The sequence below is a fragment of the Homo sapiens genome, chromosome 3, assembly GCF_000001405.40.
Source record: "Homo sapiens chromosome 3, GRCh38.p14 Primary Assembly".
Lineage (NCBI taxonomy): Eukaryota > Metazoa > Chordata > Mammalia > Primates > Hominidae > Homo > Homo sapiens.
The window spans coordinates 44,748,744-44,770,916 of record NC_000003.12 but is presented as its reverse complement, the minus strand read 5'-3'; the positions used below and the strand labels follow the sequence as shown (position 1 = coordinate 44,770,916).

At 42.5% G+C, this 22,173-nt stretch overlaps 2 protein-coding genes across 15 annotated transcripts in view, besides 2 other annotated features; one reads left to right on the top strand and one right to left on the bottom strand.

Annotated features, from left to right (window-relative positions):
• The window catches only part of KIF15 (kinesin family member 15), a 106,894-nt gene extending 97,771 nt beyond the window's left edge, over window positions 1–9,123 (bottom strand). For all 13 annotated transcript variants that reach the window (XR_007095708.1, XR_007095709.1, XR_007095710.1 and 10 more), the window contains exon 1: window positions 9,033–9,123. Coding sequence is in view for 7 of the 13 variants with exons in the window: in XM_017006884.3 (XP_016862373.1) it covers window positions 9,033–9,051 (19 nt within the window). In the remaining 6 variants the exon portion in view is untranslated. The remainder of the gene's footprint in view (window positions 1–9,032) is intronic.
• Window positions 9,073–9,352: an enhancer, noted in NCBI's record as "active region_19771". NCBI's record gives its function as "activates an Ori minimal core promoter by ATAC-STARR-seq in GM12878 lymphoblastoid cells {active_cell/tissue: GM12878}" and the evidence as "EXISTENCE:reporter gene assay evidence [ECO:0000049][PMID:35858748]".
• KIAA1143 lies at window positions 9,298–22,173 on the top strand. 2 transcript variants are annotated; one of them, NM_020696.4, is made up of 3 exons: window positions 9,298–9,422; window positions 16,549–16,693; window positions 17,365–22,173. In NM_020696.4, exons 1-3 carry the CDS (start codon window positions 9,315–9,317, stop codon window positions 17,574–17,576), a joined length of 465 nt encoding a protein of 154 aa, NP_065747.1. In that variant the 5' UTR covers window positions 9,298–9,314; the 3' UTR covers window positions 17,577–22,173. The 2 variants fall into 2 exon arrangements, with proteins under 2 accessions (NP_065747.1, NP_001307263.1); NM_001320334.2 differs by having other exon boundaries at window positions 17,310–22,173.
• Window positions 10,143–10,785: an enhancer, noted in NCBI's record as "H3K4me1 hESC enhancer chr3:44801624-44802266 (GRCh37/hg19 assembly coordinates)". NCBI's record gives its function as "activates a minimal SCP1, AML or CMV promoter by ChIP-STARR-seq in naive and primed H9 embryonic stem cells {active_cell/tissue: H9 hESC(naive and primed)}" and the evidence as "EXISTENCE:reporter gene assay evidence [ECO:0000049][PMID:30033119]".

Genomic DNA, 22,173 nt, shown 5'->3' with positions numbered 1-22,173 from the left:
GTAATCTTTTTGACTTTCGCTTGGACCATTGCCAATCCTTGCTTTGTTTTTCAGAGTGAAGGAAACTTATTTTGAACTATTTACAGCCTTTAATAATTGAGTAAGGTATACTCCTGTGAACAAAATTTGGAGCATGTTTGTCTCTCTCTCTCTGCCTGGCTTCTCCAGAATTTGGAAACTAGTTGTGAGTATACTTAACTTATGACAATATATTTGTTTGCATCAGTGCAATAAGATTCCATTTTCTTTGCAACAGGACACAACTGAAGACACTAGTTGTTTTACCAAGGCCTTTGACTGGAAGGGTATGCTTCCTTTTAAGGAGTCAAGCTTGACTTGCAGAACTGATAAAAGCTCCTTGGGAAAACTGGCCTCATACCTTGCCTACACAGTCCCTGTACAGGGTTCCTAATCTGCGGTGAGTAAGAAGTGTCACTTTTTAACAGGCCCAGGAACCCTATGCTCTTGGGACCTCAAGAAGAGAGGAGTTTACCCAACTCACAGGTATTTGAGGGTAAAAACCCACAGCTGGGTTCAGCTTTAGAAAGTCCTATCTGAGATTCCTTGTGGAATAGAGTTCCATCAAAGCCAATCTAAAAGCCCTCTGTAAAAATAAGTATTCTTGCTGCACTTCATGCAAAGAATCAAGCCAAGTATAAGACCAAAGTCTATTTTGCAAACAACTCAGTCCTATCATGGTTTGTTTTTAAGAAAACTGAGGACTGGAGAGAGATAAATTATGTTTAAAAACTTATCATCATTAAATTCTAGACCCACTAGTTGTTTTCAAGTTTTTTGCCTAGTTCGTTTAAAAACTAACCCTGCTTATGCCTGTGATCCAACCAGAGATCTCCAACTACAGCCCAGAAGGAACAAAGGGGGATGGGTAATGTAAAAATCTGAATCAATATTCTAGTTCTAAGCAATTATCCTGCAAATCCTGCTAGGTGGTGGGAATAAATACAGTGCCTGTCATCCAGAGGTTTCCTTTTTGGGAAAGTAAGACCAAGGGAGCTAACCAAAGCCAAGCTCCATGCACCCAAATCTTAGCAAACATAACTATAGCCACCAGTTATCTGGGTGTGTCACAGGGCATCCTTTTCTTTCCCTTGGAGGAGGACCCCTTTCACAGCTTCACCTTAGCATTCAGCTTATGATAAGGAGTCCATACAACCCCTGAGACATATTTTTGGTCCCAAACTCAATTCCCAACTTCAGGTCAAAGCCCTAAGAAAAAAAAAACTGGATCTGAGGGATCCAGAAGCAGACGGTAACAGAAGTTAAAAAGCACAGCACAGGTGAGCATGACTAACTCCTGCCGATTAAGCCAAGCCTCCTGTTTCATGGATAAACATCATGCTAGTATCCACGACATAAATGAGGTCTAGAGAACTTGAAGGCTACTGACAGCAGGGGAGATAGGGCGTACGTGGGTAAGCCCTGTTAACATGGGGGAAAGCCGCTTTGACATTCATGGGTGGCACCCTTTGATGATCACCCAGGTCTTGGGGATATAAGGACAGAAGAAATGAAAAGGGGCACGTCACTTTCTCCCTCCCTCACCTACCCTGGGTATTCACTAGGAAGAGAAAGGAACCAGGGACACCTGCTCCCCTCTTTCTTGATGGATTGCCATTCATCTTCAGTCTGTGGCCTTTTTGAATACATCCTGAACCCCTGGGACTCCTTTGAAAAAAACACCTTCTTTTTTCCTTTTCCCCTTGTGTCCTCTCTTCACAGATAGGTAATTGTGTCTCCTTACTACAGCACACTCCCCTTGGATCCATCCTCTAAACTGCGAAAAGTTAATTTCCCAAACCTTAAACTTGAGAATAGCTTAGGACTGGGCTTGGGGGAAGGGAACCTCGAAGACTGACAAGCCAGCAAAAGGGTAAAAATTTTTTTTAACTTTTAACAATCAGGCTTTTGGCCTCCCTCTCCCTGTGCAAACCAGTAAAAGGCCTCGGGATTTTCGAGCATGACTTCTGGCATGACTTCTGTCCTTACCCCATCCTTGTTTTGTTTTGATACATGTTTTCTAATAACTCAGTTTGTCTCTTCTCGCCTTCAGGTCATCAAACTCCAGTCGTGCAACTGGAGCCTCAGATAATGGTCCCTTTTGCCAGGAACCTTTAGATTGGCCTCTTAGGGAAATCTGACTGCCATTTTCCCAACACAGCACCCCCTGTCAGCAGGAAGCAGTTAAGATTGGTCTTTGTCCTTATCTTTATTCTAAGGGCAGTTAGATGTACTTCTTTAGAGTGGGGAATGATAGAGACAGGAGACAGCCAAACGCCTGCCGGGTCACTGAAAAATTCTGTCCCTTAACACATGCGCAGTAAGGAAAATAAATCAATGTGGAGTGGCTCAGACTAAAGGCCCACATGCGCCCTGGGAGAATGGAGTGGAGCCACTGGGAATTTGCACCTTATGCAGGGGGAGAAGCCTGGCCTCTTCAGCTGGTGTATCACACTTTTTTTCACTGAGAGCTTCCTTTTAATAAATTCCACTCTCCTCATCTTTCGATGTGTCCGCGTGCCTGATTTTTCCTGGTCATGCAACACGAACTTGGATTTTAGCTGAGCTAAGGAGCAAAAAATCTTGCATCAGTGGTTTTTTTTTTCTTTTCTTTTCTTTTTTTTTTGAGACGGAGTCTTGCTCTGTCACCAGGCTGGAGTGCAGTGCCACGATCTTGGCTCACTGCAACCTCCACCTCCCAGATTCAAGCAATTCCCCTGCCCTCAGCCTCCCAAGTAGCTGGGACTACAGGGTGCACCACCACGCCTGGCTAATTTTTTGTATTTTAGTAGAGACGGTGTTTCACCATGTTGGCCAGGATGGTCTTGATCTCCTGACTTTGTGATCTGCCCGCGTTGGCCTCCCAAAGTGCTGGGATTACAGTAGTGAGCCACCATGCCTGGCCTGTTTTTAAATACTAGGTACAAATTGATGATTCACAAATTTAAACCTTCCTGGACTGCTGTCCTGAGCTCCACACTCCTTTTTTTTTTTTTTTTTTTTTGAGATGGAGTCTCGCTCTGTTGCCCAGGCTGGAGTGCAGTGGCGCAATCTCCGCTCACTGCAAGCTCCACCTCCCGGGCTCATGCCATTCTCCTGCCTCAGCCTCCGGAGTAGCTGGGACTACAGGGGCCTGCCACCACGCCCTGAGAATTTTTTGTATTTTTAGTGGAGACGGGGTTTCACTTTGTTAGCCAGGATGGTCTCCATCTCCTGACCTCATGATCCACCCGCCTCGGCCTCCCAAAGTGCTGGGATTACAGGCGTGAGCCACCACGCCCAGCCGAGCTCCACACTCTTACAACTTATTACCTATTTGATATCTCTAACTGGATATGCAGTGGGCAATGAATCAAATTTAATGTGTCCAAAATTGAGCTCCTGATCACCCCACCTCTAGCCCAAATGTGTTTCTACATCTCCGTTAACTCCATCTTTCCAGTTGCTTAGGCCAAAAACCATATAGTCATCCCTGACCCTGTTCTTTCTCACTCTTCGTATCCAATCTCAGCAAAGCTTTGGCTCTAATTTCAAAATATACCCACAATCCAACAACTTCTTGCCAAATCCACTGCCACAGTGTAGAACCAAGCCAGCAATATCTCTTTATTGTGTTATTACAATAGTCTTTCTGCTTCTCTTTCTCCCCCACTCTCATCTTTTCTCAACCTAGCGGGCAGAATAATTCTGTTAAAAAAGAGTTCAGAGATTGACTTCTGACATGACATTATGAGGAATTCCACTGACCCACTCCCCAGTGAAACTGGTGAAATTTAAAAAAAGAAAGTTGGCCGGGCACGGTGGCTCACACCTGTAATCCCAGTACTTTGGGAGGCCGAAGCGGGCGGATCACGAGGTCAGGAGATCGAGACCACCCTGGCTAACACGGTGAAACCCCGTCTCTACTAAAGATACAAAAAATTAGCCAGGCATGGTGGCAGGCGCCTGTAGTCCCAGCTACCCAGGAGGCTGAGGCAGGAGAATGGCGTGAACCCAGGAGGCGGAGCTTGCAGTGAGCCGAGATCACGCCACTGCACTCCAGCCTGGGAGACAGAGTGAGACTCCATCTCAAAAAAAAAAAAAAAAAAAAAGAAAGAAAGAAAAGAAAAGAAAATTAAAGCCTCTGGAAATGTTCCCAAAGACAAACAGCAAACCAAGAAACATCTGTTCAAGAACATTCATGAAAATTCATCAAGAAAGTTGATCCTGTGTTATTTGAAACAAGATTGCTGTCTCCCTCCCATCTCAGCAAGGCAAACACTCCACTGTAGATTGCAGCAGCCAAGAACACAGGGATCCCTCCAGCTCCTAATTGCAAGGGGTTCCTCCACAGAGTAGCAGGATGTCAGTGTATCATTGTGTCTCCAGCTAGCTACCTGATGCTCAGATAAAGTCCCAGACAAGTGTGGTTGAGAGGTGAGGGCTCTCCCTTCTCCCACACAGCCCTCATCTTGCAACTGCATGCTAAGAACACTGGGGCCCTGATCACCCTTGCCCCAACTCATTAGGCAGTGGTTCTGCACAAGGAAAGGAAAGTCTAGAAGGTGGGCTGCTACACTCCCCACCTTCCCCACAAAATGCTCAGCAACTACAAAGGGTATCACTCAGAGACAAGACTGCCATTATCCCCATCCCCAACTCAAGTCCCCAGGCTCTGAGATTTTGCCTAAAGGAAGAATCAGCCCATAAACAGATAACTCCTAATCTCTTCCCAAAGGAGCTGAATTCATTTGCAACAAAGCATAGAGAAGTTCAAACCTGTCTAGGTGTGGTGGCTCATGATGTAATCCCAGCACTTTGGGAGGCCGAGGCAGGTAGATCATTTGAGGTCAGGAGTTTGAGACCGGCCTGACCAACATGGTGAAACCCCGTCTCTCTACTAAAAATACAAAACAAAAATTAGCTGGGCATGGTGGCACATGCCTGTAATCTCAGCTACTTGGGAGGCTGAGGCAGGAGAATCGCTTGAACTCAGGAGGTGGAGGTTGCAGTGAGCTGAGTCCACGCCACTGTGGTACAGCCTAGGTGACAGAGCGAGACTCCGTCTGGGGGAGAGGGGGTGGAGAGAAGTTCAAACCTAAGGGCACTCTCAGGAACAGTGTAGGTTTTAGTGAAAGTAATTAGGAAGACATTCAAGATACAAGCTAAATTGCAGGCCTGTTCACTTGCAGAAGACAATGGGGATATAAGACAATTAGGAGTAGCTACACTGGAGTCACAAGAAATATGAAAGAAAACCTCAAAAACTACTCCTTCAATGGAGCAAGAATTGAAGTAGTTTGTAAGACAATTTATGCCCAGGGCATTGTTAAAAAACAATAGAGCAATCAGCTAACAATTACTGGAGTTTAACAGCTGTGTGCAGTCATAGAAAGAAAGAGATCCCTACCAAAACCACTGTCATCCCAGGATAAAGGTGGGCATATCCAAAGCTGGAGCTTTGGATTCCTGAGGAGCAATATCAAAGGCTTAACAGTATAGGAGGGAAATAGACTTCACTAAATTGATCCAGCCAGTTGCTAAGCAAATACACAAGCAAACAACAATAAGAAGCCCCAGAAGGTAGGCTGCCAGCTCTTCATTTCTGCAGAGATCTCTGTAACTGATCAGATGGAAAATGATTAGATGGATACTGATCTGCACTTATGTGCAACTTTCTGGTAAATCTAAAAGGAACCCAAAGTAAAATGTTTACTTGATAAAAAAAGAAGAAAAGTTAATAAGCAAATAGCGAGAGAAAGTGAAATTTAAAACTACACAAATGTAGATAGTTCTGGCATTATTTCTAATTGAGATCTAAGGAAACATCATTGAGAAGTGCTAGGATTTGAACGAAGGCATGCTAAATCCAGATCTCCTACTCTTAACCACCTCAATATGCTACCTCTTGATCAAAGGTTAAAGAGAGTATAAAAGTTTATCATGTGGCTGTCATAAAATTTTGACATTTAAAGGAAGTCTAGGCTGGGTGCAGTGGCTCACACCTGTGATCCCAACACTTTGGGAGACCAAGGTGGGTGGATCATTTGAGGTCAGGAGTTTGAGACCAGCCTTGCCAATATGGTGAAACCCTGCCTCTACTAAAAATATAAAAAATAGCCAGGCTTGGTGGTGGTTGCCTGTAGTCCCAGCTACTCAGGAGGCTGAGGCAGGAGTAATCACTTGAACAGAGATGGAGGTTGCAGTGAGCCAAGATCGCACCCCTGCACTTCAGCCTGGGTGACAGAGCAAGACTCTGTCTCAAAAAAGAAAAGAAAAAAATGAAGTCTATAGGCATTCACTGTAAAATTCTTTCAACTTTGAGGTCCTCTATGTGTCCATCTAAAAATATGCTTAAGTCTATTCTCAGTAGCTTTATTCATAACAGCCCTAACTATAATAAAAACCCAAATGTCAATCAACAGGAGAATAAACAAATCATGGTATACTCACATAATGGAACACTACACAGCAATGAAAAAGAACTGCTGCTACATACAATGATGGACAATGATCACAGACATAATGTTCAGTTGAAGAAACCAGAATAAAAAAAGAATACATACTGTACCATTTATATTAAGTTCAAGAATAGAAGCAAAACTAATCAGTGATAATAATAATCAGAGTAATGGTTGGGGATCAGGTAGTTATTGACTAGGAAGGGTCACAGGGAACTTTCTGGAGTACAGGAACAGTTCTATTTCTTGATCTGGATGGTGGTTACATTAGTGTATTTATATGTAAAAATTTGTTGAATAATATTAAGATTTGTGCCCTTAACTGCATGAAGCTATACCTCAACAAAACAGTAAGTCTTTTAAAGAGTCTTCCTGCTTTAAAACAGACCATTGGATGCTTTACTCTGCAGTCTAGATAAATACTCATCAGTCATTTGCCCAAACATGATTGGGTTCAGAAAGGGAATCTTAGGCCAGGTGCAGTGGCTCACGCCTGTAATCCTAGCACTTTGGGAGGCCAAGGCAGGTGGATTGCTTGAGTTCAGGAGTTCAAGACCAGCCTGGGCAACATGGTGAAACCCTGTCTCTACTAAAATACAAAAAATTAGCAGGGCATGGTGGTGCACGCCTGTAGTCCCAGCTACTTGGGAGGCTGAGGCACGAGTACTGCTTGAACCCAGGAGGTGGAGATTGCAGTGAGCCAAGATTGCGTCACTGCACTCCAGCCAGCCTGGGTGACAGAGCAACACTGTCTTTAAAAAAAAAAAGGGGGGAATCGTATATTTCACTTTTTCATTTCTCTGATTTCACAGTCAGCAACTCATGGTGTCAATGATGTCACTAGAGATAGCCTTCATGGGGCCGGGTGTGGTGGCTCATGCCTGTAATCCCAGCACTTTGGGAGGCCAAGGTGGGCAAATCACGAGGTCAGGAGATCGAGACCATCCTGGCCAACACAGTGAAACCCCGGCTTTACTAAAAATAAAAAAATTAGCTGGGCATGGTGGCGCGTGCCTGTAATCCCAGCTACTTGGGAGACTCAGGCAGGAGAATCTCTTGAACCCGGGAGGCGGAGGTTGCAGTGAGCCAATATCGCACCACTGCACTCCAGCCCGGCAATAGAGCAAGACTCTGTCTCAAAAATAAAAAAGAGAGAGAGAGATAGCCTTCGGGGCACAAAGTAAAAGTTGCAAAGACCACTGCACGGGCTCTCTTCTCCCATGTGTTCCCACTTCATGCTCCAGGCCTCTGGGCTGCTGGGAATGCAAGAAGCACTTTAACTGGGAAGTCATCAACCTCAATTTTGCCAACAAACTTAAAGGAGTGGAAAAGTTCCCCATGGCATCACCACCATCATAAAGGAGAGTGCTCCCACCACTTTAGAAAGGTTCTCAAATTTGGTTTTCAGACAAGAGCCCTCAGTCACATACATATATCTCATTAAATAAGCAGATGTTTTACTTATTTAACAGGCATCAAATTTTTTGCTTGAGTCCAGATTTAGTGACTGATCCATAAAGTGGAAACAAAGAACAAACAGTATGATTGTTCAGAAAGCAGGATGAACATTTCTCTCCAATAAGGTACCATTTTGTGAGCTCATAGTCCTTGAATACTGAAAATGATGAAAGGAAAAGGAATATTTTATATGCAAAAAGGTAGCATAAGGAGGTGTTCCGATTAGGTGTGATCGACCTAAAAGATTAATGAAACAACAAACCCATCAAAAACGACTACAATTGACAGAAAGCTAGAAACATTAACGGCGTTGGAAAGCTCAAATGACAGAAGTTCACAAATTCTTAATCATCTAATCCAGGCCTCTCCTCATTACCATTCAGACCACTCACAAAGATCCCATTAAATCAGCTCATAATCAGGTTTACAAAAATAAGACTCCTTAAGAGATGTGGCAATGTGAGAAGTGGAGCACGTACACAGGCACAGCAAATGACTACGTTAGTGAAAACTGTAGGGTTTATCATAAGCAAAATGACAGTGCTCTCCTCCGTGAAAAAGAGAAAGAAATCGGACGGGTCTCCTTTAAGTGAAAATAGAGACTGTGAGAACATAAAGACATTGCTGACATCTGTGTTTTAACATTCCATTTATTTAAGGAAAGAGGAGAAAGAAATGTTTGGAATATAAATAAACCCTTCCCTATAGGAAGGTCAGAAATGTAGAAATACGCAGAAGCTGGTGGGAGCAAAAGCCGATCCTGAGACAAGGATATCTAGAGAGGTAGCCCTGGTCGGGATGTGGGAAGAGGCCTGCGAAGAAACAGCAGAACCAAGGGAAAGAAAGGGAAGAACGTCAGGTCCACTGCTCATCCCGAGCGCCTAGAACTGCGCCAGACTCCTGGCATGCGCACAGGACACTGAAGGAAGGGATGAGCTTTTCGGCTAGCGTATTGTCTTTGAGCGACAGAGCGGGATTCCCAAACGTCCCCGCCGGTCACTCAGCTCCTGCAGTTCATGCCTAGCAAGAACCTTGCGGGCGGTCCGAGGCTGCCATCCTTTCACAGCTGTATTTGGGGGCAAAAATAGGGTAACGAAGCCGGGGGCCCAGACTTACTTTTGCAGCCGGGTGCCATAGCGCCCTCACCCCTCGATCCCGAAAACAATGCAGCCGGTGCCTCCACCTCCCGACTGCACCGCGCGCGACTGAATTCCGCCCGCTCAAGATGGCCGCAAATTTGAATTTGGCGCTTGGATCGGACGTTGACGCCCGCATGGAGGCCGCCATGTTGCCCGGCCTACGCATCGGGGGCGTGGCCCAGTGACGTCACAGCTAAGCGCCTCTGTATCGTCGCGAATCCGTCGCGGAACCTGTCTTCTGTCTTTACCCAGAGCTACCATGAGCAAGCGGAACCAGGTATCGTACGTGCGGCCAGCCGAGCCGGCGTTTCTGGCCCGCTTCAAGGAACGGGTCGGCTACAGGGAGGGACCCACCGTAGAGACTAAGGTGAGCCTTCGCCAGTCGTGTTTCTTCGGAAGCGCAGCCAGCCCGCCACTTTCAACTTTTGCCTCTACTTGGAGGGTGGGTGCTGTCGGGTCCCTCTTTTCACCCGCGCTCGAACCCAATTCCGGTGGAACTCGGACCCCCAGGCTGGTTCTTTTCAAGCGACCACAGCCCCCTACGCCCAGGAAGCTCTGTAGTTTTCAGAGCGCTGCTGTGTTCCTGAAAATGAACTGACGTGTAAACCACCTGGTCCTTGGTAGATGGTAAAGAAAGATCACTTTATTGTCTCTTCTTTCTCACTTGTTTACCTCAAAAGCTGTGAGTTCGCAGGGTGAGTTAGAGTTACAGCGTCGTCCCGTATTCCAGATAAGGACACAGGCCACTCGATCAAATGACCCCCGCCCCAACCATGTCCTAGGACTCGAGTCTGGAACGTCTTCGGAGGAATGTCCTGAATCTGTTTCTATGCTTTGTTAATTAAAAATAAATAAAAATAATATAGAGAAGGTCGGGCACAGTGGCTCACGCCTGTAATCCCAGTACTTTGGGAGGCCTAGGTGGGCGGATCACCTGAGGTCAGGAGTTCGAGACCAGCAGAGCCAATAGCCAATATGGTGAAACCCCCCGTCTCTGCTAAAAATACAAAAATTAGCCGGGCATGGTGGCACATGCCTGTAGTCCCAGCTACTCCGGAGGCTGAGACAGAATCGCTCGAACCCGGGAGGTGGACGTTGCAGTGAGTTGAGATGGCGCAGCTGCACTCCAGCCTGGACAACAGAGCGAGACTCCGTCTCAAAAAAAAAAAAAAAAAGCCGGGCCTGGTGGCTCACGCCTGTAATCCCAGCGCTCTGGGAGGCTGAGGCGGCAGATCACGAGGTCAGGAGATCGAGACCATCCTGGCTAAAACAGTGAAACCGCGTCTCTACTAAAAATACAAAAAATTAGCCAGGCATGGTGGCGGGCGCCTGTAGTCCCAGCTACTCGGGAGGCTGAGGCAGGAGAATGGCGTGAACCCAGGAGGAGGAGCTTGCAGTGAGCCGAGATCGCGCCACTGCACTCCAGACTGGGCGACAGAGCGAGACTCCGTCTCAAAAAAAAGAAAAAAAAGAAGAGTAAGCAGAAGCCGTAAATATCCTGGGTCTAAATAGAAGAAGAGGAGCTTCAGGAAAGAGCCACACCTGACTATTGTTGTCTAGGGCCGGAGGGATCAGTATTGAACACATGAATGACAAGAAAGCAAAACAGCTACATTGCTGATACAGAGAAAGTTTTAGTGGTCTGGATAGAAGAGCAAACCAGCCACAACATTCCCTTTAACCAAAGCCTAATCTAGAGCAAGGCCCTAACTCTTAAATCCTGTGAAGTCTGAGACATGTGAGAAAGCTGCAGAAGAAAAGTGTGAAGCTAACAGAGGTTGGTTCATGAGGTTTAAGGAAAGAAGCCATCTCCATAACATAAAAGTATGAGATGAAGAAGCAAATTATTCAGATCTAGCTAAGATAGTTGATGAAGGTGGCTACACTAAACAGGTTTTCAATGTAGATGAAACAGCCTTCTATTGGAAGAAGATGCCATCTAGGACTTTTTTTTTTTTTTTTTTTTTGAGATAGGGTCTCACTCTGTCGCCCAGGCTAGAGTGCAGTGGTGCAATCACAGCTCACTGCAGCCTTGACCTCCTGGGCTCAAGTGATCCTCCTGCCTCAGCCTCTCAAGCAGCTGGGACTACAGGCATGAACTAACGCATCTGGCTAATTTTTGTATTTTTTTGTAGAGACAGGATTCCACTGTGTTGCCAAGGCTGGTCTCAAACTCCTGGACTCAAGCAATCCTCCCACTTTAGCCTCTCAAAGCCTCTCAAAAACCACTATGCCTGGGCCATTTAGGACTTTCATAGCTAGAGAGAAGTCAGTGCCTGGCTTCATATTTTCAAAGGACAGGCTAACTCTCTCATTAGGAGCTAATGCAGCTGGTGACTTTTAAGTTGAAGCTAATACTTACCATTCCAAAAATCCTAGGGTCCGTAAGAATTATGCTAAATCTACTCTGCCTGTGCTCTAGAAATGGAAAAACAAAACCTTGATGACAGCACATCTCTTTATAATATGGTTTACTGAATTATTTTTAGCCCACTGTTGAGACCTACTGCTCAGAAAAAAAAAGATTCTTTCAATATATTATTGCTCATGGACAATACACTTGGTCACCCAAGAACTCTGATGGAGATCTACAAGGAGATTAACGTGGGGTTTTCATGCCTGCTAACACAACATCCATTCTGCAGCCCATGGATCAAGGAGTAATTTCTATTTTCAGTCTTATTATTTAAGAAATAACAGCCAGGCGCAATGGCTCACACTTGTAATCCCAGCACTTTGGGAAGTCAAGGCAGGTGGATTGCTTGAGCCCAGGAGTTCAAGACCAGCCTGGCCAACATGGTGAGACCCCATCTCTACAAAAAATACAAAATTTAGCCCAGTGTGGTGGCATGCACCTGTGGTCCCAGCTACTTGGGAGGCTGAGGTGGGAGGATTCCCTGACCCCAGGTAGGTTGAGGCTGCAGTCAGCCATGATTGCACCACTGCACTCGAGCCTGGGTAACAGAGCCAGACCCTGTCTCAAAAAAAAAAAAAAAAGTCAAAACCATTTGTAAGGCTACAGCTGCCATGGATAGTGATTCCTCTGATGCATCTGGATATTGTAAATTGAAAACTTTATGGAAAGGCTTCACCATTCTAAACACGTTAAGAACATCCATGATTCATGGGAAGAGGGCAAAATATCAACATTAACAGGAATTTGGAAGAGGTTGATTCCAACCTTCATGGATGACTTCGAGAGATTCAGGCCTTCAGTGGAGGAAGTAATTGCAGGTGTGGTAGAACAAGCAAAAGAACTAGAATTAGAAGTAGAGCCTGAAAATGTGACTAAGTTGTTGCAGTCTCATAAAAATTGAACAGATGAGTTGCTTCTTATTGATGAGCAAAAAAAGTGGTTTATTGAGATGGAATCTACTTCTGGTGAAGATGCTGTGAACATTGTTGAAATGTCAATAAAGGATTTAGAATAAACTTACTTGGTAAAGCAGCAGCAGGTTTAAGAGGACTGATTCCAATTTTGAAAGGAGTTCAGCTGTGGGTAAAATGCTATGAAACAGCATTGCAGCATCACAAAAGAGAAATCTTTTGTGAAAGGAAGACTCAATGCAGCAAACTTCATCGTCTTATTTTTAAAAATTGCCACAGCCACCCCGCCTTTCAGCAACCACCACCCTCATCAGTCAACATCCATCAGCATCAAGGGCAGACCCTTCACTGGCAAAAAGATTAGGACTCACTGAAGGCTCAGATGATTTTTAATGTTTTTAGCAATAAAGTATTTTTAAATTAAGGTAGGTACATCTTCCAGACTCCTGTTAATGTTGATATTTTGCCTCCTCCCATGAATCGTGTACTTAATGGGATCTAGATTTTTTTAGACATAATGATATTGCATACTTAATACTAACTGTAGTTAGTGTATAGTGTGAACATAACTTTTATGTGAACTGGGAAACCAGAAAATTTGTGTGACAATTTATTTTGATACTTGCTTTGTTGTGGTGGTCTGGAACCAAATCTGCGGTATCTTCAAGGTATGCCAGTAGAATGAGTATGTGCTAACCCCATGCACTGTCGCAGGCTCTGAAAGGACGAAGAGATGGATCTCCAAAATGCCATGTTCTTTAACACTTCCTGCCCTATTTTCACAAGTTACCATCTCTCCGAAACCCTTCAAAGCTCTCCAAACAGTTACTCTTTCTGTTTTTCTCTTTACCTTATCCATATCTTATCTATAACATTCATTTTATATTGCAACTACTTGCTTTCCTGTTTATCTTCACCACTAGATTGAACTCTTTAAGTTAGTATCTTAATCCTTCCGTATTTTCCCAGCACCTAGCACAGTGCCTGGCACGAAGTAGTGGGTAACAGTTGTATTTGTTGGTGACTGTGCTGTTATCAGGTTAGACTTCGTGGAGGAGGGATATTTAGATAGACTCTCGAGCATGGTTAGGTCAGCAGGTAGAGATGAAGAGAATGGCATGGGTAAAGGTGTAGAGATTTGAGAGTCATGGACTGTATGTAGAAGTGTTAGAGGGGCTAGTGGAGGTGAGGCCATGTGGACTATTTAGTAAGCAACAGGGAGCCATTTTTTTCTTAGAGGTAACACAGGGAATGACTGATCCCCATGACTAAAAATAGGGATGATGACAAAGAGGGTAAGGTTTGAGAAAAGGGACATAGATTGAGCGATGAGGAGAAGATGAGACCCAGCTTTACCTTGCTTGAGGTCCTGGTGATGACCCTGTATGCACAGTTGACAGCTTGAAGGTTACAGCTTGGAATGCTATCTTAAGAGAACTTCGGGAATCCTTTCCAAGTAATATCAGTGATTTTCGCTTATTTATGTACTCAAGGGAATTTCCCTTAGAGAAGTACGCCATGTTTCAGTGTGAGAACCACTTCATTTTTAATCAGTTTGGCAATATACAGTATTCCCCCATTATGTTCCAAGACCCCCAGTGGATAATACTGAATTCTATATATACTATGTTTTTTCCCATACATATATACCTATGATGAAGTTTACTATATAAATTAGGAATATCAGCAGATTAGTAACTAATAATAGAACAATCATAACAATATACTCTAGTAAAAGTTGTGTGAATTTGCTTGTTTGCTTGCTGTCTCTAAATATTTTATTGTACTGTACTCACCCTTCTTTCATACTACAGTTGACCACAGGTAACTGAAATTGTGGAACATGAAATTGAGGATAAGGAGGGGACTACTGCAGTCAGGATTTTAGTCATCTATTAACAAAAAGAAATGAGTTTCATGGGAAATCATTCCATAATTAAGCTAAATCATCCTATTCACTTTTATTTTTTTTGAGGCGGAGTCTTTCTCTGTTGCTTAGGCTGAAATGCAGTGACTCGATCTCAGCTCACTGCAACCTCCACCTTTTGGGTTCAAGCAATTCTCCTGCCTCAGCCACCCAAGTAGGTGGGATTACAGGTGCCCACCACCACACCGAGGTAATTTCTGTATTTTTAGTAGAGACGGGGGGTTTCACCATGTTTGCCAGGCTAGTCTTGAACTGCTGACCTCAAGTGATCTGCCTGCCTAGGCCTCCCAGAGTGCTGGGATTACAGGCATGAGCCACTGCGCCTGGCCCTATTCACTTTCTTGAGAGTTAATTCAGAAATGTCTCTGAACAGTCATCAGTGGCTACTGCCACTGTCCTTAGACTATTTCTCTTGTTTTCCAGGCAGTCACATTTAAAAAGAAAAAAAGAGAAGAGAGTCAGAATTAATTATTCTCAATTTAACAAACAAAAGGAATGATTTTATTTCACTTTCCCATATTTTTGGCTAAAAATACTTACTACCTATTTGTGGTCATTTATTGGAGACTTTCAGAGAAAAATTGGCAGAAACTGATGAATAATCAGTGAACTAACATAGATACCATTAAAGAGAATGTACTTGTGCAGTGATAGAGCAGACTTGAGAACTTGAGTTATAGTTAAAATGGCACAAGCAACTTGCCAGGGCTTCATGTAGTTCATCATTTTCCATTCTGTTGGTCATTCATGAGTAGATCAACAAATATTTCTGGAAGTCCCTGCTGTTTTCCAGGCTTTGTGCCTCTCCAGAAGGCACTTGCCCAGTGGAAACCAGCAGAAAAACATTGGTACCACAGTGCAATACATGCTACCTATGAGCTATGCACAGTGTAAGAAACAAGAGAAGGTGAGATTTAGGTAAGCACTTCTAGAGGCTCTAAATCTGGAAGGCAGCTTGAGTAGGAGTTGCTCAGGGGCTGTGGGGCTTAATAAGCCGTAGGAATTTGTTCAGAGACAGGGGAAGCAAAGGAGCTAATATATTTATAAATCTCCAAGTACTCAAACCTTGCCATGCCAGAGTCTAGATGCCATGAGAGAGTGGTACAGGATAAAGCTGTGGTTATGGGCTGAGGCTAATTCTTGCAGGGCTTTGTCGCCTTGTTTGGGAGACCAGGAAGTCTCTATGAGAAGTGGAGTAATGAGTGATTGTGTTTGAATAACATATGAAAACATATTTTGGTATGCATACCTTTCAACCCAACAGTTCCACCTCTAGTGAACTGTTAACATTAAAAGTTCTTGCATACAAGTTCCCAAAAGTGAGCAAAAATGGGTGCATGAGGTTTTTTCATAGTAGAAAAAAATCTGGAAACGAGCAAAATTTGTATTTACAAGATGCTGGTCAAATAAATCTTGAGGTGACCATATATGTAATTAAATGCAAGGCAGTGATTTTTTAAAAATCAGATAATTCTATATCTTAAAGTACTGTACAAAGATATTTTTTGAGTTAAGTTGTGGGAGTGGGGCTCTTACGGTGTCTCACATTTCAAAAATCTGAATCAACTGGCAAAATATTACCATCTGTTACACATATACAGGGAGTACATGGTTTCTGTTATGTTATTCTCTGTACTTTATGTTTGAGAAATTTCATAAATAGGGAAAAAGCAAGTCACAGGAATAAGTACAGTGTTGTTGGTATACAAAAAGTTTTATGTACCTACATAGTTGTATAGACGTGGAAAATAGCTGATAGAATATCCACCAAACTGAAGCTATTAGGAGGGGGAAAAGATGAGCAGAGGTGAGAGAGAGAGTACGTTTTACTTGCTGCTTTCTGTACTTTGATGGTGTTTATTTCTTGTCTAACTCAGAGAAGAGACAGGCAAAAAGTGCTGATGAGGAGCAAACAACTGACATGGCACAGTGCTGCCCTGAGTAGGCTAGGAGTGACAGCAGTACCCAAAGCAGAGGGTCCCTCACACTAGTAACTACAAGCTGGGTCCTGCTGAGATGGAAATGAATCCCACCGGACAGGCACTCCAGGCTGAATGGCAGTTAAACCTGTTCCCTTGTGTGGCAAGCTAAGTCTCTTTGGAGTTACCTTAAAATTCATTGCCCTTATTTACTCAATAAAGATACCCTTCTCATAAATAATTACAGTTTCTCTTAGAGGCAGTGGTTCTGTTTGTCTCAAGATCAGTGATCTACACATTGTATTTGTGTTTTTCCCTAGAGAATTCAGCCTCAGCCCCCAGATGAAGATGGGGATCACAGTGACAAAGAAGATGAACAGCCTCAAGTGGTGGTTTTAAAAAAGGGAGACCTGTCAGTTGAAGAAGTCATGAAAATTAAAGCAGAAATAAAGGCTGCCAAAGCAGGTAGGTCTAAAAGTAATCTGGTTTTTCTAACAATTTAAGGAGCCCAGGGTATGAAATTGTTTATTTTATTTAGTAGTGTGGTGTGTTTCAAGGTGGCAGTTCCGGGTTCAAGCCTTAGCTTTGACACTTACCAGATGTGTAACCTTGAGCAAGTTATTACACCTCTCAGCCTCGATTTCCTCATCAGTAAAATGGAAATAATTGTACCTATTGGGTTGTTACCAGGATTAAGTGTGAATTTAAGTAAAAGCATCCTATTTTTTTTTTTTAAATAGATGGTTAGACTTATAAACCAGTCAAAAAAGGTGTATTTCATTACTGCCTGAAGTTTGGTATGATATGTAGTATATTTTTCATTATTTCTGAACATTTACTACATTGCTTTAGGGGAAAATGCTGTAGTTCCAAACAGTCACTTTTCAAACTACTTAAAAATACAACCTGATTGTAATTGGGAACTGACAATATTATAGAATACTTTAGCATGTGAGTTTTTATTAAGTAACTGCATGCCTTGAGGGCAATATAGCTAGAAACAATGGAGAAGACCAGACTGAATCAGATTCAGGGATATCCTTAAATACAATATGAGATTTTCTTATTATTTGCTTCTAAGGTAAAGGCAAAATAATGAGGAGAAGAAAGTTCTTAAAAATTCTGTTTTTGCTCAGATGAAGAACCAACTCCAGCCGATGGAAGAATCATATATCGAAAACCAGTCAAGCATCCCTCAGATGAAAAATATTCAGGTTTAACAGCAAGCTCAAAAAAGAAGAAGCCAAATGAAGATGAAGTAAATCAGGACTCGGTCAAAAAGAACTCACAAAAACAAATTAAAAATAGTAGCCTCCTTTCTTTTGACAACGAAGATGAAAATGAGTAAGTGTAAATATTTTGAATTTAGTCTACTTTGAAAGTATATGGAGTGTTCATTAAAATCACATTTTTTCCTATTATAAAGATACTACAAGTTCTTTATAGAAAGTTTAGGAAATAGAGAAAAAAATTTAATAAACTACATCTATTCATCAATACCCCTCTGACTTAAAATGCCAACTCTATAGAAATTAGCTAGTATTAACATTTTGTTATTTCCCTTGTGTGGTTGTATATATATGTAAATTATATTTTTAAGCAAAATACATTTTTTGTGTGTAAACAAAATTTTATAAATACAACTGTATTGCAAATGTTCTTTGTCCTGCTTCTCACTTGACATTGCATTACGAGTATTCTTCCAGGTCAGTAAATTTCAAAAACCTGACATTAATAGCTACAGATAATTTCATAAACATCTCATTGTATCTTTTTCATTAGCAATAGCTCCACTTTGGGTGGGGGAGATGATAATGTGCCTTGTTAAAAATACCTCCCCAACTCCTGCTAAGGGTGGCCATGAGACTCAGCTCTGGCAAGTTAAGAAATACAGGTGGAATTCTGCTTGATAAAGCTGCTGGGTTTTTTGTTACAAAAGGACAGACTTGGCAAACATGAGCCTTTGCTCTTATCTTTTCATCCTACTTGGAGTGCAGAGATAAAACCTGAGTACCAGAGCCACTTTTAGGCATAAGGAAGGCAGCCATGTGCTTTGGGTCATGTTAGTAAAAAGACTCAGAGCTTGGCTCCTTGCTGACATGCCTGGAGGAGCTGCTACACCAGCTTGGATTGCTGACCTCTGACTTCTTGGTAGTGAGAAGAATAAACACTGTGCTTAATTAGGCCTTGGTCAGGTTTCTTTTATATGCAGCCAAATGCAGTCCTAAGTAATACAATAAATAACTGGTCAAACTGTTACTGGTGGAGGGTGTCCAGGTTCTTGGCATTTTGGACAAATAATTGAACAAAACGCACAAAGCAATGAATATCCTCTAGAGGTTTGCCATTGGTTACTTGGCGTACACCCTGTGTAAATGAAGTAGTGGCCCGTGACCTGTCTGATTGGTGCAGAAAGTGACCAATCAGAGGCTGAAGTGAAGTTACAAAGTTATACTCCTGTGTAAATGAGGACTTGGCCTATGACCAGTCTGATTGGTTGCAGGAGGGGACCAATCAGAGGCACTTTCATTTTTCATCTGCAATGCAGAAAAGGCAAGGGGATTGCAAAGGGAGTAGCCTCTGATCCTTTTGTTACTTAGGTATGGAGAGGTGGGGTTTTCCTTTTGATTCAGTTCTAGGAAGTCAATGTGAATCAGCCTTAGGTTCCCTGTCTCCAGACCCTATTCTCCTGCCTCATTTTCCCCCTGAGAGACGTGATCCTCGTAAATCTTTATGGGAGGCTGAGAGACTGAGGGTCTTTCTTCTGTAACTGCTTCATGCTAACTTGGGACACAGTCCCTACCTATTGGAGATCACGTAACTCTCACCCTGCTTTGTCTAGGGGAGACAGGGTAGCTTCTTGATGGCCGGTGGTGTCTTCTCCTGAAACTGGCTAGAAATCTTGTCACATGATCATCTAACTTGGTGGTCTCTAGGCAAAAGGAAATGGATTTGGTTAAAAGATTTAACAGATATGGTCCAAAAACCAAGGCAAATATAATCATTAATAATGGGCTGGCCAAGGGAGGGAGCCATGAAACCCAACTTAGTGCCCTTTAGGTGCCCCAGCTGTTGTCATATTTTAGAGGCCCAGTCAGCTAGTTTTCAGGTGGTGTCCCTTACTAATCCTGATTGGTTGACATCAAAACAGCATTCTTCTTCTAGGAAAATACATAAGCCACCTGTTTCAGCAGTTAGGAGATCTAGTCCCCTTCGATTTTGCAAAGCGACCACTGCCAAGGAGCCTATCCGAATTTGTAAGGTGACAATACTTTGAGCAATGTTATCCAGGCTTTCCATAAAATCCTTGGACAAGCGTTGGTAATAGGATAGGGAAGTTGCAATCCCGCTAACTCCCATTCCTACCTCTGCTGTTATTCCTAGCCGTTGTGTCTGGTGGTTGCAGTTAAAGGTATAATGAGGGATTGGTTGTTGGGAGCTATATTAATTTAGGGACATACAATATTTCTGTCTCCAGTCTACCACTTCCACCAAAGACAAATCACAGCAGAACCGACCTAACTTCAAAATAAACTGCAGTCCCATATACTGGGCCTGATTACCCACACAAAGTGCAACAAGAATCATTGTCCATATAGACTCTCCTAGATTGGCTTTGCTAGAACATTTCACAAGGCCATTTCAGTCAAAGTCCTGAGAAAGTAACCGGTTTCAATTGTGCCCTATTACAAAAGAAAACGTGGTTATTAACTTTATACAGACAAATGCCATGAATTAAGAATATTCATAAATAGTTTACAAATTCTGGAGAAATTAGAATACTCAATACACTTAAAGTGTATTTCAAGGCTATAAATAGCTCAAAATAAAAAGATTATTCAGACTCTGAAAAAACAAAAAGAAGTAGCAATATTTCAAACAACAAAAGCCATACAAATTATTTCAGTCTTCCATTAGTTCATTTCAGTCCATGTAATCAACTCCTGCTCTACTTCATATTCATCTTTATGAACACATCAGCCTTTCAATTAGTGCCTTGGAAGTTTTCTGTCTAATCCAATGGCACACTCTCCAAAGTTACCAGAAACCTGCATTCAAGAGTTCTTTTCATGAACTCCAAAGAAGTAAGCCTTGGACTGTAGCTGATTATAAGTCACTTTTTTTTTTTGAGAAGGATCAGAGCAAAACATCAATTATGGATGACAAAAGTCTTAAGACAGCCATAAAGACACAGTTGACAAATGTGGCTATTTCTGTGGCTTACAACAATTTAACATAATCATTACAACATATATTAAGACATATCAGAATTTTAGAACTCTCATACAATCCTGGAACACATATTAACAACAAATCTCTATCAGTATAACCCAAAGGAAGCTAAACACCACCTCACACTTGACAATGTTTCCTGTATAATTCAAACATTACAAATAAGCCTAATATAAGCCTAATATGTCACTCTTGAACTTCAGGAAGCCTAATATCCAAAAAGTTAGTTTAAGGTCAAAAGTTTTTGAATTAACTTTTTTCCATTAGTATGGTCATATCTTTCTTACTAATTTGTAAGTTATGTAATTTATCAATTTTTTTTTGTTGTTCTGTTTCCCAACCTCTATGTCAGATAAAGAATCACCCAGGCCAGACACAATGGCTCATGCTTGTAATCCCAACACTTTGGGAAGCCAAGGTGGGAGAATTGCTTGAAGCCAGGAATCTGAGCCCAGCCTGGGCGACAAAGCAATACCCCTATCTCTACAAAAAATAAAAAATAGCCAGGTGTAGCGACACACACCTGTAGTCCCAGCTGCTCAGGAGGCTAAGCAGGAGGATGGCTTGGGCCCAGGAGTTCAACGCTGCAGTGAGCTATGATTGCACCACTGCACTCCAGCCTGGGCAACAGAGTAAGAACTGTCTCAAAAAAAATAAAAAATAGAAATAAATTTTAAAAAAAGAATTACCCATATTCTCTTTGTTTTTGTTTATTCACATTAACCTTTATTCTATCTGGAATTTATTAGAGTATACTTTTTTCTCAAATAATCAATTGTCCTAGAACCATGTGTTTCTCATTTATTTGAAAGGCCATCTAGTGAGAGATTTCTCCAAATGTTGGGGTAGGGAAGGGAGGGGAAGCACTTTAAAGTCTGAGCCTTTAGAGGTGATTCCTCAAGACCCTGCTTAATCCTAACAATTTTCCTCATTAGTAAAAGTCAGCCCAAACTGGGGGCTTGTTAAGATCCTTACCAGCCACATCCATCTGAAATTATGAATTTCAAAGTATCTTACAAATTTGGTGCCACATTATCTTTTTTAAGTTTGTTTTGTTTTGTTTTTTTGAGACAGAGTCTCGCTCTGTCACCCAGGCTGGAGTGCAGTGGCGCGATCTCAGCTCACTGCAAGCTCCGCCTCCTGGGTTCACACCATTCTCTTGCCTCAGCCTCCCAAGTATCTGGGACTACAGTCGCCCGCCACCACGCCCGGCTAATTTTTTTGTATTTTTAATAGAGACGGGGTTTCACTTTGTTAGCCAGGATGGTCTCAATCTCCTGACCTCATGATCCACCTGCCTCGGCCTCCCAAAGTGCTGGGATTACAGGCAGGAGCCACCGCGCCTGGGCCTTTTTTTAAGTTTTAAGTACCTATAAAGAACACTGAAAGGTGATGTGTGTGGATGAGCTAGGAAGACCTGAAATAGGCTCTCTCTAAATTAATCAAATTAATCCTGAAGCCATTCTGCAATACTGTCTTTAATGTATACTCACTTGTTATAGAAGCCAGGGTTTTTTCCCCTAATTTGTATCATTGCTATATGTGTTATTGTACCAAACTACACTGTTTTAATTGCTGTAAATTTTAATATGTCTTAGTATCTGGGTGTGGGAATCTTGAAAGCATGGAGTTTGTGTTATTCACCACTGTATTCTCAAATATCAGAAGAGTATCTGGCCTACTAAGTGCACAATAAACATAGTTAAAATGAA